At 46.0% G+C, this 15,164-nt stretch overlaps 1 protein-coding gene across 1 annotated transcript; it reads right to left on the bottom strand.

Annotated features, from left to right (window-relative positions):
- Positions 1–7,369: 7,369 nt before the first annotated feature.
- Positions 7,370–14,714, bottom strand: DEFB1 (defensin beta 1). The gene is made up of 2 exons (NM_005218.4): positions 14,575–14,714; positions 7,370–7,604 (listed from the first exon to the last, which is right to left on the bottom strand). Exons 1-2 carry the CDS (start codon positions 14,633–14,635, stop codon positions 7,459–7,461), a joined length of 207 nt encoding a protein of 68 aa, NP_005209.1. The 5' UTR covers positions 14,636–14,714; the 3' UTR covers positions 7,370–7,458.
- Between the last annotated feature and the right edge of the window lie 450 nt (positions 14,715–15,164).

Raw genomic sequence — 15,164 nt, forward strand, 5'->3', positions numbered from 1 at the left:
GGAGGCTTACGGAGAGTGGGGAGCCTGGCAGGGAGTAGGGGAAGCTGGTGGAAGAGGGGAGGCTGGCGGGGAGTGGAAAAGCTGGCGGGGAGTAGGGAGGCTGATAGGGAGTGGGGAGGCTGGCGTGGAGGTGGGGATGCTGGCAGGGAGTGGAGAGGCTGGAGGGGATGGGGGAGTCTGGCAGAGAGTGGGGGAGGCTGGCAGGGAGTGGGAGAGGCTGGAGGGAGTTGGGGAAGCTGGTGGGGAGTTGGGGAGGCTGGTGGGGATTGGGGGAGCTGGTGCAGAGGTGGGGAAGCTGGAGGGGAGGGTGGGGAGGCTGGCGGGGAGGGAGGCTGGCTGGGAGGTGGGGAGGCTGGTGGGGACGGAGGAGGCTGGCAGGGAGTGGAAAGGCTGGCGGGGACGTGGGAGGCTGGCGGGGACGTGGGAGCCTGGCGGGGACAAGGGAGGCTGGCGGGGAGGGGCTCCTCCTGTGGCTGCTTCCTGAGGCCTCCAAAGTCTCTGAGCAGGCCCCCTGACCTACGTGTACCCCGACCTGGCAGCAGCAGTTTCTTCTTGTGGCAGCAGCTGGATTTGATTTTGCGTGTTTCCCACTTAGAATCAGCCTCATAATACCCTGTTGGGACTCAGTAAGGGCCTGTGAGGTGAGGCAGGCGTGTTAGCTGGGTCTGCATCTCTTGTTCTTCCTGCCACTAGCAGACTGCCTCTAGGCAAGTAGCAGACCCAGAAGCATGATTTACCCCCAGGGGGTGGTCTGTTATTCACTCCTTGTTAGGTCGCTATCAGTCTGCATGGAAAGTCTGCTGTGAATAGGACTCTGCTAGACCCAGGGGTACAAAGTGCTCTGAGACGCAGGGCTGCTCTGGGCTGCGCTGGGGTCCAGGTGTGAGAGGTGGTAGAAGGTGCAGGGTGCGTGTGCAAGCAGAGAATGCTCAGGAGGTTTCGGTGGTTTAAGGGGAGAATGTGTCAACTTAACATAATAGAAAGGGTCAGAAACTAGTTTACAGAGGGTTTATTCAAGTGCAGAGGTTGAAAACGGGACATCTCTGGGAAGCACAGATTCCAAAGAATGGAAGTCAGTGTTACCAAGTGTAGAGATTTGGGATTGCTTTATATAAACAAAGCTTAGGGGAATTTCACAGAATTTCAACATCTGTGTAAGGCTTAATGCATAGTTCCAATGATCTGATTACTTGAGGGGGGCCTCTTTTGGAAAGGTATATCTAACATTCCACACTGCCATCTAGGCTGAGTTATGGTCGGGACTCTTAAAGAGGTGGTAAATCTGTAACAAAGGTCTGTGATTAGAAGGCGGAGATCTGGTCTCCGGTGTTTCCTAGCCATTACAGAAAAAGAAGAATGAGGAAGAGTTAAGCTGTAATCCAAGCAACAGAATTGCAAAACATGTTCCATGACCCAGATCATAGCCACACCTCTCTCAAGGCTTGAGGAGTCCTGGAAGTTCCAACAGCTTTTAAATGTAATTTATTTTCACAAATGCAAATACATATTTAAATATCCTGGCTAGGAAATGTCCAGGAATGCCTGGAGCATATATTTTAGAATACTCTGTAAGACTAATTAACAGGGGAGAACTGCCCAGAACGGGTTTGGAGGCACAGGTTGGCGGACAGAGAGCCGTGCCCAGAGCGGAAGGAAAGTGAGAGCTGGAGTGCTGCCTGGGAAAGGCCCAGAGGGGAGGAGCTCTTAGCGAAGGAGGTGAAATGGGATGTGAGGTTTGTGGGATTCGAGACACCAGGAGAAAGTTAAGCTTTGCCCAGTAGGGCTCCATAGGGAGCCACAGTGATTACTGTGGTGACTGCAGCCTTAAACAAATGGTAGGCGACTTTGTTAAAGGTGTGAGTTGAGCTTATCTAGGCAGGTATATTAGCCAGTATGTGAAAGCCAGGTATTTATAGTCGAATGTATTTATAGTTGCAATGTGTATTTCTAAACTAAGTCTACTGTGCCCAGCAAAGTGACATCAGAGACTTTAGACAGAATGCCCCACAGGCTTGGGGTGGGGATGGAGCCCCGCTGGCAACAAGCGTGGATGCTTACTGTGTGCTGAGAGTAAGTGGGGTTCTGTCTGGGGGGCTGCAGAGACAGCAGAAAAAACTATCTTTAGAGTCCCTTACAGGAGACCTGTTTTTGTGACTTGTCTGAAGAAGACCAGTCAGGTCAGACTTGACTAAGCCCAGGAGCAATCATTTCGGCAGTTCCCGCGTGTTTATCAGTGAACCTGGTTTTTAGAAAACAGCAAAACAAAACTGAAACAAAAACAAAATCAGAAACCCAATTAAGCAAGACTCTTTACTTACCTCCGTAGGTGTCTGGTCTCTACAGGTAGAATGAGTCCAGGGAGCTGGGAGGGGGCAGTGATGACACCTCTCTGCATGTCTGGTCTGATGTCAGTTACAATAATCAAACACGGGCCGGGCACAGTGACTCACGCCTGTAATCCCAGCACTTTGGGAGTCCGAGGAGGGTGGATCACAAGGTCAAGAGATCGAGACCATCCTGGCCAACATGGTGAAACCCTGTCTCTACTAAAAATATAAAAATTAGCTGGGCGTGATGACAGACGCATGTGATTTCAGCTGCTTGGGAGGCTGAGGCAGGAGAATTGCTTGAACCTGGGAGAAGGAGGTTGCAGTGAGCCGAGATCATGCCACTGCACTCCAGCCTGGTGACAGAGCAAGACTCCATCTCAAAAAACAAAAACAGAAAAAAACAAAAATAATAATAATCAAACACACAGCAGGACCCCTGGCCAGCTGGGGAGGGGGCCAGTGTGGGTGCGTCTTCCTGGGGCCAGCCTAGGAGAAAGTGCTTTTCCTGGGTGTGTGCCCAGGTCACCTGGCTGTGGGACATGCTTCAAGGAATGGGTCTGCCAGGTCACAGTGTTCCTGGACCAAACTGTGGGTCAGGCTGCTATTTCTTGTGGCCCAATAATGAGAGGCCAATGAACTGGGGAGGAAGAGAGTTTTTATTTCTGTAACCAGTTACAGGAAGAAGGCCTGGAAATGATAACCAGACCAACTCAAAATTACACAGTTTTCCAGAGCTTATATACCTTCTAAACTGTAGGTCTACATGTAAGTGTGCACTCATCGAAAGACATAAGTGATTAACTTCTTTTAATCTATAACTAAGGTCTCCATCCTGAAGACTTTCTTCTGGATCCTCAGTAAATTTACTTAATCTAAATGGGTCTAGGTGGTGGGGTGATTACCCTTATCTTGTCTCCTGATGAATCATAAAGGTTTGGGGAGTTCTGTAGACCCCAACAAACTTGTCTATGGAGGCCTGGGGGGTTTATTCAGACCCCCAGTAAAACTTGTTTAAACTTGAAGGTCCTGTTAAGAATCCCTTCATTATCTTGTCATGCTCCAAGGCCCACGAAAAGCCTAGAGAAAACTTTTGGTGGGCTCGTTGTTACATTCCAGCCTTTGTATAAGGGCACTGGCTCAATTAGCTTTAATGTTTAATGTAGCTGCTCAGTCAGTGCTGGGACAGTTGTAAGGGAGGCCTACATTAGTGAGACCTGGCCCACCACAACAGGGCAGCAAGGGAGGCAGGGGAGAACCAAGTAAGGTGAGGCTGAGATGGGGGGTCAGTCCCCAGCCCCATGGTGGACCTCTGGTCCTCCTGCACCTGGGTGAGCTCCAGCGAGAGCCAGGTGGCTTTCCTCTAGAGAAGAGCCTGTAACCCCTCCTGCTATGGGAGTCTCCTCCTCCTCTTCCAGGTCTTGTGGATGATGACCAGCGGGGTGATCCCCAGTGGGCACCAGTGTATTTGCCTGTCAACAAGGGAACAAGCGAATCAAGTCCCTGTGTGGTTCACGGAGGGGGAAGATCAGGTTTCACTTGTAAAGAATGGCGGGTGCTTGCACTTGGAGACTATGCCAGTGAATGTGGAGGGCTGCACCCTGACTAGGCAGCAACAGGGTCTTTAGTCTGCACACATTTGGTTAAAACATTCTACGCTGTTCATTTTTCAGAAAGGAGTCTTCCTTTAGGTGAATGAGGCACTGTCGGAGTCACTCTGAGTTCTGAGTCACCGTTCAGTCTGGGCTGGTTGGAAGAAATTGGGTTGAATCTCAGCATTCAGGTTTGACATGTTCTGGGCAAGGACTGCTCTAAATGGAAACTTTTCCCTTTCTGTTCCTTAAGGATGTGAAGAACCCAGCAGCCTTTCCTGAGGCTGTGTCTTCTGTGCACAGCATCTACTAAGGCCATTCAAAAACACCCCTCCATGGATCTTAAAGCACCCCCTTTTTCCCTTAGGAGGGGGAGTTCTGCAGCTCCTTAAGCTAAAGCCAGATGGATGCAACTAAGAGAGAAGAGAGAACTCCATGCTGCCCCCTTGGTGAATAGGCTGGGCCCAGCATGGTGCAGTCCTTAAAGAGGACCACGGTGGATGAGATGAAGCCACCAGGGCACTGTGTGTACAGAAACAGCAGGAATCAAAATGCCATATACCCGATGAGTGCAATGATGAAACAAAAAATTTATGTGCCGACTCAGATTGGAGAAGTATACTGGGAAAAACAGGCCAATAGTAGATTTGATTGGAAGAGTAGTATTTTGAGCAATTTTTGTTATAGCACTGTTTTGTATTTTGACTGATTGTGACAAGCGTGTATTTTTCTGCTGATATTTGTGGGTTCTCAGGCTTTCGTGGCATAAAACAACCTTGATCAAAAATGTGAATGGTATAAGAAGTTAGTGAATCAGCTTTCATGCCTGTCCAGAACAGAACAAAGGGGCACCCACATGACAGCTCACTAAATTTCTTTTAAAAACCTGTTGTCTTCCAAGATTTGGGACTAATAATAAAAAAGCCTCAAGTGGCTTTTGTTCATAAATTACCATCAGTCCGTGATCTAACAGAAGAGATAAAGGCAGGGGAATAACTATTTCTCCCAAGGCTTTTTATTATTGTGATTTTAAAAAACTATTATTTTTCAATATTTTGGATAGTTCATGTATTTTCAGAAGAAAGCAGCCATGAACAAGTGTATGTATATTGGGAGTTAACTGGAAATATCCATTTTCATGGAAGTTCTCCTTCTAAACAATGGACAGAATCAGGTCTATCCCCTAAACCAGAGGTTGGAAAACAATGACCTTTGGCCAAATCTGGCTTGCTGCCTGTTCTTTTGAACACAGTTTTATGGAAGCACAGCCACTCCCATTTACTTATGTGTCAGACAAGGATTCTTTCACTCTGCAGTGACAGAGTTGAGTACTTGCAACAGATGGGATATGACTCACAGAATTGAAAATATTTATTATCTGGCCCCTTGGAAATATTTGACGACCCATGTGCTGAGCCACTGACATAGCCATCTAATCCCATGTGGCAACCACTGGCGGTACATCTGTGGTTTAAACTCCTCCTGGCCACTACTAAAAGTGTAATCAGGGTCCATTGATACAGGAAGACTTTTTTTTTTTTTTTTTTTTTGGACAGAGTCTTGCTCTGTTGCCCAGGCTGGAGTGCACTGGCACAATCATAGCTCACTGCAACCTCTGCCACCCGGGCTCAAACAATTCTCCTGCCTCAGCCTCCCAAGTAGCTGGGATTACAGGCGCCCGCCACCAGGCCTGACTTTTTTTTTTTTTTTTTTTTTTTTCCAGTAAAGATGAGGTTTCACCATGTTGGCCAGGCTGGTCTCGAACTCCTGACCTCAGGTGATCCACCGTCCTTGGCCTCCCAAAGTGCTGGGATTACAGGTGTGAGCCACTACACCCGGCCAGGAAGACTGTTCAATATAGGGGCCACACAAGACCACATGCTGGCTGTTTTGTCTCCTTTCTCTCTTTTTCAACAGTCATGCTCCTTTTTTTTCATCATGGCATTGGTTTCTTGGAGAAACAAGGTTATTTTTCCTGTAGAATGTCTCACACTCTGGATTTGACCCACTGCTTCCTGTGCTGTTGTTTCGCTTGTTTCCGAAAGTCCTGTATTTTCCGTAAACTAGTAGTTAGATCTAGAAACTCAATTAGTTTCAGGTTCCATTTCTTTGGGCAAGAATAGTTCATGGGTGGTGCTGTGTAATTCTTATTACATCACAACAGGAAATCCATTAATGTCTGGTTGTCTCAGTTTTAGGGAGGGTAAGACTGATGATCGAGTGCACCCTTAACCCTCAGTTATCAAATTCCCTGCCAAGCTTTTCACCAAATGGTTCTAAAACAGTCCATTGATGATTGCTTTAGACCTATAATTTCATTCAGGGTTGCAATATGGTGATTTTATTATTCTATCATCCCTTTTTCATTTATTAGTTGGGGAAATTCTATAAAGAAGGCATTTCCTTAACTATTGTTCACCCTAAAAGGCAGTTTGTACTGAAAATGCAGAATAAATTTCTGAAGTGATAAGTTGGTGCTGTAACAAGCTCTAATTATAAATGAAACTATTTAATTGTCATCATGAACTCATGGATGTTTATGTATTTGTGTGCGTCAATCAATTGTTATCATTAGTTACTGCAGTTAGGAAAAATGTCTCATCTGTGGCCATTGGGCTCCCCTTTGATTTGGAGCTGGTGTTCTTTTGGTGCGACCCTTCAGTCTTTGAGATGTCTTATTTCTAGCACAGCAAAATAACTCAGGCTTGTCTTGTACATCTTATGTTCCAGACTTGGAGGCTGCCATTTCTCCAAGTAGTCCTGGAGATTCTCAAATGCTAAAGTTAACCAACACAGTGCCCTAAGACCAGAAAGGAGAAAAAATGGAAGTTCTGGGTCCTGCCAAAGGACTATTTCACTGAGCAGACTGCTGAGACCTCTGAATTATGTGGACACTTGAGAATCAGTCATGTGTTGGGGCCGGCGTCGTGGCTCATGCCTGTAATCCCAGCACTTTGGCATTTTGGGAGGCCAAGGCGGGTGGATCACCTGTGGTCAGGAGTTCGAGACCAGCCTGGTCAACATGGTGAAACCCTGTCTTTACTAAAAACAAAAACAAACCCCAAAAATTAGCCAGGTATGGTGGCCGGCACCTGTAATCCGAGCTAGTCGGGAGGCTGAGGCAGGAGAACTGCTTGGGCTTGGGAGGCAGAGGTTGCAGTGAGCCGAGATTGTGCCACTGCACTTCAGCCTGGGCGACAAGAGTGAAACACCAGCTCAAAAAAAAAAAAAAAAAAAAAAAACCAAAAAAAAAAAAACCAAAATCAGTCACCTGTTGGTTTGTGGATCAAACAAAGTGGAGGTGACATCACTGAAGCCTAGGACATCACTCCCCTTTTCCAGGCAGGCTTTGTGGTTCGACCTGTCTCACGTTCCAACCCATGCACCCTAACCCCCTACTTCTTTACCTCTTCCAATTGAGACACAAGATTCATTTTGGCCCAAAGGAGGTATACTTCAAAAGCAATTTTCCTTTATTAAAAGAATGCTTATAAAAAGTTCATTTCACTTCTGCGTCATTTCTTCTGGTCACTCCCAGCTCACTTGCAGCACTTGGCCTTCCCTCTGTAACAGGTGCCTTGAATTTTGGTAAAGATCGGGCAGGCAGAATAGAGACATTGCCCTCCACTGCTGACGCAATTGTAATGATCAGATCTGTGGCCAAGGCCTGTGAGAAAGTTACCACCTGTAAGGAGGGAACACAAACACTTCAGACTCATGGCTTGTAGCTGCAACGATTTGAGAACATCTCGCGAAAGCAGAACAAATAACTGCAAAACACCGGAGAGTCTTCTCTTCCAAGAAATTGGCCCATGATTGATCTTTGGGGCTACTCATGAAATGAGGTGTCTGAACAGCTTACTCAGTCTGGGGCTATGCCAGCTGTGGCCAAATACAAGCCAAGGAATGAGCAGTGGGGTTCTGAGTGGGGTTTTCTTCTGCTGAGAGATTTTAAATGTGCAGGGAATTCAAGTTATTTTTCCAAACAAGTTTTCTGCCTTGTCTCAACACACCCCAAAATCACATCCTGTGTTTTAGAAATGTGGAAGCAGCTGCCACTCTTCAAACACAGCCTACACTTCCCTCCTTCCATGCCTTCAGTTACGCTGTTCCCTCTGCCTTGAATCCCGGCCCCCTCACTTCCCACATCACTATTTCAGCTGAAATCTAGGATCGTTTCACATCGGGCTGAAATTATGGTTACTCTCTAAAACTTTCATAGTTTTTTTTTCTACTTGGACTTTATTTTGCCCTTCTCCCAGTATCCCAGATCTGATAAATAGAGACAGTACTCTGGAATAGCCTTCTATTCCATGCAACAGGGAACAGTCGCCTGTGATATTCCTGGCGAGGGACCAGCAGGCCGCCATGTTGCAAGTCTCCACTGGTAGGCGTTTTGGACTGAACTGAATCCCCTAGGAAAAGAATTCCTGTGTCGAAGCCCTAACAGTGCCTCAGAAGGTGATTGTATTTGGAGAGAGAAACTTTAAAGAGGTGATTCAAGTTAAACACGGTCATTGGGGTGTGCTCTGATCCATAAGACTTGCATCCTTATAAGAAGAGATTGGGACAGACACACACAGAGGAAAGACCATGTGAGGACCCAGGGAGGCGGCGGTCATCTACCAGCCAAGGACAGACACCTGAGAAGAAGCCAACCCTGCTTCCACCTTGATCGCAGACTTCCTGCCTCCAGGACTGCGAGGAAATAAATTTCTGTTGTTTAAACTGCCTGGTCTGTTTATGGGCAGTTTAAACGATAAATCTGGTAGCCTGAGCGGACTAATACAAGAGGCCATCGCTACCCTAGGAGACAGTACATTCTCATGTTGCAGATCTCTGTTGGAAAGATGGCTTTCACACCGATGGAAATTGTCTCATCAGTAACTTCCATCCAAAGGCTATTTTTCCACTTTTTGCAGTAATTCCACTTTTGAAAAACTCTTCTCATTGTCCTCAATGCCTGGTTTCTGGTCCCTTCCCAAACCTCTTCATTCTCCTGTGGATGTGTTTAAGTTGGCCAGTACACTTCCCAAAGTTTGAAGCCTGGTATCAATACAGAGTCCCTTCAATGTGTTCCGCCAACCAAGGTAAATAGAGGCTTCATTTCTCTCATTTTGTTCTCAAAGCAGCACCATCCAATATGGCAGCCACATGCTCCCTGTGGCTGTTCTCTTTTAGGTTAATTGAAATCACCCTAGCCGCATTGCAAGTGCTCACGAGCACTATGTGGCTAGTGGGTGCTGCATTCATTGAACAGCAGATATAGAATCTTTTTACCACTGCAGAACGTTTTATTCAACTTCATTTCAATAGAAGGTACTCTGTATTGATACCAGGCTTCAAACGTTGGGAAGTCTATTGGCCAACTTAAACACATCCACAGGAGAATGAAGAGGTTTGGGAAGGGCCCGGAAACCAGGCATTGAGGAGAATGAGAAAAGAAGAGTTTTTTTGTGTTGCTGTGGAGATGGAAGGGAATTGAGAGGCACTCTGGTTCTCCCATCCCAGTACTCAGGGAAGCATCTTGGGCCAAGGCCACTCATTTGTTCATACAAAACACAGTCTCTTGATTGCCAGCTTATATTCTTTTTCTCTGACTGATTCCTAATGAGGCTGTCTGAGATTGTACTATGTTTTAATAATCTCGCCATAATGTTGACCTCAAGTAAGATCATGACCAGCTAGACTCTGCCAAAGTCTCCACTTTCTGCTTTAGTCTCCCTGCACTGGAGGCTCCCAGTGCTGGAAAGATACTTAGAGGATGCCTACTCCAACCCACACTGCGAAAGATGGAACCTCTCCAAGTGATTATCTGTTATTAGAGAGATCAACTGAGCATATAAATTTGAAAGCACTTTGAAATCGAGAAGGTTTATACATCTTTGTTCTTGATTGTTCTTCTCAGTAATCAAATGGTTGGGTGTATATATGCTGATTAAGCAGAGGAGGCCCAAATTTAATATGGATGTAGCTTTTTAGAGCCAGGATGGACTTCGGAACTCAATTAATTCAACCTTTCTGTGATCCTCTCCCCAGATGAAGGAACAAGGTCCAGTGATGTCCCCAGAGCATGTAGCTGGTCAAAGACCAACCCCGGACCAGAATGGATGCCTCCTGATCTCACTTCAGTTCTCATTCCACTTCACCACACTGCTGGTTGACTGTGGTGTCACGGTGCATAACCAGAACTAATTTCTGGCATTACCTTCCAGGATCTAGTACATTATGGGACACAAAAGGAATTGCAGCAAAGTTAGTGAGAGGGTACTTTGATTACATTCTGTGTTCCACATCTAATCTACTGTGTGATCTTTTGCAAACCACTCAACCTCTCTAGGCAGCAGCTTCTCAAATTTAAAACGGAGGAGACTACGCAGCCATAAAAAAGAATGAAGGTGTGTCCTTTGCAGCAACACAGATGCAGCTGGAGGCCAATATCCTAAACAAATTAACACAGGAAAAGAAAGCCAAGTACCACATGTTCTCAGTTATAAGTGGGGGCTAAACACTGAGACACTGGGGGCTACTAGAGGGGAAAGGAGGCAGAGGAGTGTGGAAAACTAACTGTGGGGTACTATGCTCATTACCTGGGTGACAAGATCACATTCCATTCCTCAGCATCTGAGTGGGTCTGGGTTGGGGCTGATAATTTGCATTTTAAAACAAGCTCCTAGGTGACACTGAAGCTTCTGGTCCAGAGGCCATACTTTTACAACCTTTGGTCTGGAATATTGAGGTTCCTTCCTGTTGGAGCAGTCTATGCTGCTTTCAGTCTAGGGGCCTTTTAAAAGCACTTGCCTTTAACATTTTCATGACATTTGCCTTCACCTTGTGTTAGATATTGCTGTGCCTGTGTCTGTTTCTCTTACGTGCTTCTTAAGGATGTTAGTGTAATCTAAATGCTTCTGAAGGTTTTTGTTTTCCAATAATTGTGGACCAGGCAGCCCAAAAAGAACAGCTAGAATATCTGACATACACACACACACACACACACACACACACGCACACACACGCACATGTGCACTTTGTAGGTATTAGAGAACCAACAGTAAAGAATTACTAGGTCAAGATTTGAGAGAAAGACCGAAACAAAAGCAGGAACATCACATCCTACTAACATAAAAAAAGTTATTATGAAGGCCTGAAACATTTTGAAATGAAGAAGACCTAAATGAGTGGAAATGCTCTGTTAAAGCATTTGAAGATTACTTTTTTAAAAAAAATTAATCTTCTGGTTCAACCAAATACCATGGGAATCCCCAGAGGTTCTAATTTGACAAAGTGATTCTAAATTTTATTTGGAAATTCAAAGGGCCGAGAATAGCCAAGACACATTTGGAAAAAAGGTGAGAGGTCTTGCTTTACTGTATTTCAAGACTAAGTGTAGAGCGTCTGTAATTAAGGCAATGTGCTTATGGCACAAGGACAGAAAAATGTCCAAATGGAATAAGATAGAGTGTAGAAAGAGGCTCATGCATACATGGAGAATTGATGTAGAATAGTAGTGGCTCAGCAGAACAGTGGGGAAAAATAGTCTTATCAACAGTTGGTTCTGGGCTGGGCATGGTGGCTCATGGCTGTAATCCCAGCACTTTGTGAGGCAGAGGCAGGCAGATAACTTGAGGTCAGGTATTTGAGACCAGCCTGGCCAACATGGTGAAACCTGCTCTCTACTAAAAATACAAAAATTAGCCAGGTGTGGTGACAGGCGCCTGTAATCCCAGCCACTCGGGAGGCTGAGGCAGGAGAATCCCTTGAACCTGGGAGGGAGGGGTTGCGGTTAGCCAAGATTGTGCCACTGCACTACAGCCTGGGTGACAGAGCGAGACTCAGTCTCAAAAAAAAAAAAAGTTGGTTCTGGACAATCAGATATTCATATTGGGGAAAAAAAGTAACTTGACCGTTACTTCATACCGAAGCCACACACACACACACACACACACACACACACACACACACACACACCCCATTGCCAGATGGATTGTAAGTCTAAATGTAAAAAGAAAAAGGATAAGCTTTTAGAAGACAATATTGGGGACTATCTTCATGTCTTTGATGTAAAGAAAGTCTTCTTAAACAAGATAGAAAGTGCAGTAACCTTACGGAAAAAGACATGACACATTCGACTACATTGAAATCATGATAAAAGCCTCTTTTCTAGGAAAGTTTCCATTAAGAGAGTGAAAAATCAAAACACAAAGCAAGAGAAGATATTTGTGATGTATATAATTGACAAAAGGCTTGCATAGAAAATACATAAAGAACTACAAACCAATAAGAAAAGACAGATAATCCAAAAGAAAACATGGACAAAAGACAAACAGGTATTTTACAAAAAATAACCCAGTTGCCTGTAACTATGTATAAAAGGGCCCAACTTATTATTTATCAGGGAAATGCAGATTAAAACTCCAGTGAGCTATTGCTACACTCACCAGGTGGTTAAAATTTAAAAATAATTGATGTTATCAAATGTTGGCAAGGATACAGAGCAAGAGGAACTCTTATTCACTGCTTGTGGGAGTGCAAGTTGGTGTAAATAATCTTGGAAAACAGTTTGGCATTGTCCAATACAATTGAATATATGCATAGCCTATGATCCGGTGATGCAACTTTTCAGCATGTAGAAATAGAGGCATAAGGGCACCTACTGGCCAATAGAAATGTGTGCACAAACCAAGCTGTACTATTCAACCTGAATATTAATTAGTGTGGCAAAAGTGTAAAGAATATGAAAAGTTACCACCATAAAAGTCAAGTGAGTGATTATTCTTGGGGGTAGGAGGGAGTTGTGACTGGGAAGGCTCGAGAATAGCTTCTCATAATTCAATTTAGATATAATAGACTGAAAACAAAAATTCTTTATGTTAACAAAGTGCCTTTCAAACCCTTTTGAGTTTGGACTGAACCACCATCAGAAAGAAATTTCTCACTGCTACTCAGTAAAAACATATGCACACACCCCAAACTGAAATATGGGTGTAATTAAATAGCATCTACTTTTACTACATGGCATGAAGTAATATTTTCTATTCCTTTAAAAAAACATGGGCTGGGCGTGGTGGCTCATGGCTGTAATCCCAGCACTTTGGGAGGCGGAGGCAGGCGGACCATGAGGTCAGGAGTTAAAGACCAGCATGACCAGCATGGTGAAACCCCGTCTGTACTAAAAAATACAAAAATTAGCCAGGCTTGGTGGCATGCACCTGTAATCCCAGCTAACTCAGGAGGCTGAGGCAGGAGAATTGCTTGAACCCAGGAGGTGGAGGTTGCAGTGAGCTGAGATTGTGCCATTGCACTCCAGCCTGGGTGACAGAGCAAGACTCCATCTCAAAAAAACAAAACAAAACAAAACAAAAAAACACGGTAGGCTGAGTGGAGTGGCTCATGCCTATAATCCCAGAACTTTGGGAGTCTGAACTAGGAGGGTTGCTTGTGCCCAGGAGTTTGAGACCAGCCTGGTCAACACAGTAAGACCTTATCTCTACGAAAAAATAAAAATAAAAAAATTAGCCAGGTGTGGTGGTGCATGCCTGTAGTCACAGTTTCTTGGGAGGCTGAGGTGGGAGGATGGCCTGAGCTCAGGAGGCAGAGGCTGCAGTGAGGCGAGATCACACCACTGCACTTTAGCCTGGGTGACAGAGTGAGACCCTGTCTCAAAAAAAAAGCAAAGCAAAAACAAAAACCAAAAACCAAAAACCAAAAAAAAAAACAAAAAAACAAAATCCATTGTAGCAACTGGCAGCATGAAAAGTTCTGCATTTAGAATGCTTTTGTACTCAGCTTTCAGATGGAAAAACTGAGGCATAATTGGAATAAATTAAGCCTATCTGCTGGATACAGTGATGGCCTAGAGAAACTTACAATAGGATCTTACAGAGACTTTCTGAACTGGAGTGCTTGCTTTCAGGATCATCCTTCCCAGCCCCTCATTCTGCAGATGAATAAACCAAGGCTTAGCACCATGTGACTCGTGTGAACAAGGATAGGGCTGGGATAAAACATGTTCCCGATTCCTCCTGCACGTCCCACCATCATGTCAGGGTCATGGCTGCTTTGGCCCAGAGAAGCTGACATACACCTGGCTCACAGGAAGCCCCCTCCTATTGACTGGGGAGACTGCTAACCTGGAGAATGTGGATGCATTTCTCAGGAGAGGGAGAGGACCGCCTGCCTGCACAGGAGGTGAGTCCAAGGCACCGGCTGAGCTGGCCTGATGGGTGGGGCGGCAGCACCTCACCTGTACCAGGGCACCCCAGGAGGCTGCACCCAGTGACGTGGGCTGAGGATGGGGCCGGCCCCTCTCTCTGCATAGGAAGCTGGCCTCTCAGTGTGAGGAGTCGTCTTGCAGGGGAAGCAGCAATCTCATCCACATAGGATACTGTCTACATGTCCAGGACAAGGATGCAGGCAGCTGCCTGTGACAAGCGCCATGACCCTGCCAGGCTCACTCCTTGGCGGCTCACAGACCCTGAAGGCTTGGCAGGGCTTGCCTGCTGCCTTCTGCCAACTGCAGGCCACTCAACCACGGGATGCTTTCCTGCTGCTTGTTCCTCGTCCCTTGGGACACGGAGGCAGCCATCCGAGACTCACATCAGCCCCATTGTCCCCAGCCCTGGGGATGGGAAACTCTTGCAGGTACCAGAGCTTACCTGAGGCCATCTCAGACAAAAGTAAGCAGAGAGTAAACAGCAGAAGGTAGGAAGTTCTCATGGCGACTGGCAGGCAACACCCAGGATTTCAGGAACTGGGGAGACGCTGGCTCCTTTGGAGGCTGAGCTGACAGAGGCTTCCAGAGGCTGGAGCGTCACTGTATTTATAAGACTGGTGGATTGCACAACCTCGTCGACGGAACTGAAGGGAGGTGCCACAGTCAAGGGTGAACTTCTAATCGCTAACCCCTGGTGTCATTTGCCCTGAGCAGTCAGCAGTCACATGGCACATTGTCTCCATCTGGCTGCCGCTGGATTTAGCTTTCAGCCTGGAGCCCTGGTGCCAGCTCCTCCTGTTTGGTTTTCTAGGTTAGGCAGTTCTGATGGGGTTTCTGGAACAGGCAGTTCACACTGGAGTCCCTCCTTCTGGATCACATGGAGGAGAGCCACAGGGAAGCTCTGAGCAGGGGGCCGCTCGGCTCTAAGCTGGTGTTGGCCTCTTTAGTTTGATTGTCTTCCTGCAAGACAAACTCAAACTTCACCCTCTTCCCTTGCAGAAGGAGAGCTGGTTGTAATGAAGTTTCTTCCTC

Source organism: Homo sapiens, chromosome 8 (genome assembly GCF_000001405.40).
Source record: "Homo sapiens chromosome 8, GRCh38.p14 Primary Assembly".
NCBI lineage: Eukaryota > Metazoa > Chordata > Mammalia > Primates > Hominidae > Homo > Homo sapiens.

Bases quoted from the DNA above. Each gene is read 5' to 3' on its own strand.
- DEFB1 (NM_005218.4), bottom strand. From the start codon at position 14,635: ATGAGAACTTCCTACCTTCTGCTGTTTACTCTCTGCTTACTTTTGTCT. The intron at 7,605-14,574 runs GTAAGCTCTGGT...CCCTCCTTACAG, and splicing joins TTTGTCTGAGATGGCCTCAG to GTGGTAACTTTCTCACAGGC.